The sequence below is a fragment of the Homo sapiens genome, chromosome 8 (genome assembly GCF_000001405.40).
Source record: "Homo sapiens chromosome 8, GRCh38.p14 Primary Assembly".
In the NCBI taxonomy this organism is placed as follows: domain Eukaryota; kingdom Metazoa; phylum Chordata; class Mammalia; order Primates; family Hominidae; genus Homo; species Homo sapiens.
The window spans coordinates 65,454,267-65,457,146 of record NC_000008.11 but is presented as its reverse complement, the minus strand read 5'-3'; the positions used below and the strand labels follow the sequence as shown (position 1 = coordinate 65,457,146).

General features: G+C 42.2%; 1 annotated feature.

Annotated features, from left to right (window-relative positions):
• Nucleotides 1,908-2,137: a silencer, noted in NCBI's record as "fragment chr8:66367245-66367474 (GRCh37/hg19 assembly coordinates)". NCBI's record gives its function as "represses an EF-1alpha promoter that drives an FKBP-Casp9 reporter gene in an ReSE screen in K562 erythroleukemia cells {active_cell/tissue: K562}" and the evidence as "EXISTENCE:reporter gene assay evidence [ECO:0000049][PMID:32094911]".

Here is a 2,880-nt window from a genome sequence, read left to right as displayed (position 1 = left end):
CAAGCATACAGCTCAGTGACATTAAGTACATTCACAATGTTGTGCAATCATCACCACTATCCTTTTCCAGAACTTTTTCATCTTCCCAAACTGAAACTCTGAACCCATTAATAACAACTTCATTTTTCTTCCTCTTCCCAGCTCCTGGCAATCTCTATTCTACTTTCTGTCTCTATAAATTGGACTACTCTAAGTTCCTCGTGTAAGTGGCATAGTACACTATTTGTCTTTTTTTTCTAGTTTATTTCTCTTAGCATAATGTCCTGAAGTCTCATCTATATTGTAGCTTGTATTAGAATTTCCTTCCTTTTCTTTTCTTTTCTTTTCTTTTCTTTTTTTTTTTTTTTGAGATGGAGTGTCACTCTGTCTCCCAGGCTGGAGTGCAGTGGCGAGATCTCAGCTCACTGCAATCTCTACCTACTGGGTTCAAGTGATTCTCCTGCCTCAGCCTCCCAAGTAGCTGGGATTACAGGCGCCTGCCACCACACCCAGCAAATTTTTGTATTTTTAGTAGGGACGAGGTTTCACCATGTTGGCCAGGCTAGTCTTGAATTCCTGACCTCAGCCTTGGCATCCCAAAGTGCTGGGATTACAGGTGTGAGCTGCCATGCCAGGCCAATTTCTTTCTTTTTTAAGGCTGAATAACATTCAATTACATCATATACTGCATTTTGCTTATCCATTCCTCTGTTGATGGACACTGGATTTTTCTACCTTTTGACTGTTGTGAATAATGCTTTTATGAACATGGGTGGAGAAATACCTGTTTAAGTCTCTGCTTTCAATTCTTTTGAGTATATACCCAGAAATTGAATGGCTGGACCATAAGACAGTTCTACGTTTAATTTTTTAAAGAACAACAAATTTAGTTTTGAGATTTCTAGCAGCCATTACAAAGAAGGAAACAATAAATTCTATGATTCACAGTGCCCCCAAAGTTAACATGGATCAGTTGTTCATGAGACTAGGGGAAACTTTCTCTCATGGATACTCTCAAAGAATGTGCTATGTAATGTATTGATCGACAAGATCTATAACAGCCTTAGAATAAATACAACAGTGCATTTCCTGCGGCTGCTCAGTGAAGTTATGGCATAATGCCAAAGCACAATTCGGTGAAAGCAGACAATGCAGTTTCAGGCTTGGAATGGAGATGGGTTCTCTTAGAATGGACGAGCAGAGGAAGAAAATGGTTATCAAGGGAGAGGGACATTAAGAAACACATCTAAGGGAAGAAGGGAGTTTTTCTTAAGAAAGCATTCTTAGCACTTTGCAGTTTAGAAAGGAGCGTTTTCCCCCTACTCCAGGATAAACTCTTCTTTATTTTTCTCTGTAGCAAACCATATTGCTGATTAACCACTGCTTTCATAAACTTCAAGTGGGCCATTCAAGCTGCCTCACCGCTGCTTAATGTCCTGTACTGAGCTCGCTCTTCCTGCAGTCCCTACCTAGGGTTTGTTTTTATTAGAAATTCACCTCGGCTTGTCTGTTGAGAGGAAAGAAAAGGGAAATTATACCCCAGAGCTTGGCAAGCCCATAAAATGGCAGAGATTCCTGAAGAAGACTGCCCTGAAACCCAAGCCCCTGGCTGCCTGAGCTGTAATGAAATGCATGACTACGAGAGATAATAATAATCGCAGCAATGGCTCGTTACAGCTCCCGGATGATTTGGTGCTGTCAGGAGTGCGCTGTCCGCTGACGTCCCAGGAGGCGAACGGCATCAGTGACTGCAGGCCCTGATTGGGGCAGTGAAATATTGCTGGCAAAAATTAAAAGGTCCCCGTGTCAAAATAATTCATGATATGCATATCTTCCATTCTGATGAAACGGCTGATATCTGGATTAGCAAGATAATAAAACTGATCAGGCTACAGTTAAACAATTTAAGTTGGAGAGCTGTTCATTTTGTAGGTGTCACTTGTCAGATCAAGGGGTCAAAGCGGAATGAAAGGCTCTCCCCGGTAACCTTCCGATGATGTGGATCTGGAGTGTTCTTCATGATTTGTCCAAAGTTTTCATCATCGGGCTGCCGACTAGCATTACTGCGGAAGGCTGTATTCTGACATTCAAATCCCCGGAATGACAGGCTATTAGGAGAGGAGAACTGGCTCCTCATACATTAAGCACCACATCTCTGACCTGTAATGTGAACTGATAGTGACATTGTAATTGAGTGAGTCTGAAAAAAAAAGAGGGGAGAATCTTTATTAAAACATGAGAATAGAAAGGAAAGCATTTATATTTCTGATGATTTGTGGGTTTGTAAAATAAGCTTTTTGGTGATGATTTATTTTCCATTTCTATAATGCTGAGGGGTGTGCATAGTGTGTTTATTTGGTGTAACAGTTATTTAAGATAACACCAACTCGCCCCAGACTCCTCTCCACATGCTGAGCAGGCACAGATCAGAAGAGATTTGTTCTGCAAAGGACAATTGCTTTAAAATGAACAAAATGGACTCAAGTGCAAGCCAAGGCTGGACTGCCACTCAGGATATTTGCCTCGTAGCTCTGTCTTCACTCCCTGCTTCCCCTGAGTTCTCTCTCCTGCATAAGCCAAGCCAAGCCAAGGGGCCTGGGGAGAAGCGGCCTTGGTTATTGGTGTCAGTGACTCCACTGTGGGGCAATGCCATGCATTGAGTGACTAATTTAATATGCATTAATGGGATCTCAGGTGATTCCTGTCAAGCCGCTCAAGAAATACCCTAGTCTACCAACAAATACCAAAGCAGGCAAATCACTAAATTTGGGAGTGGTGCAGAACTGCTGAAACAGCCTGATTCTTTGGCAACCATAAAGAAACTCAGTGTGTGTGTGTGTGTGTGTGTGTACATGAGTGTGTGCCTGTGAGTGGGTGCACACCTGTGTGTATAGGGGTATG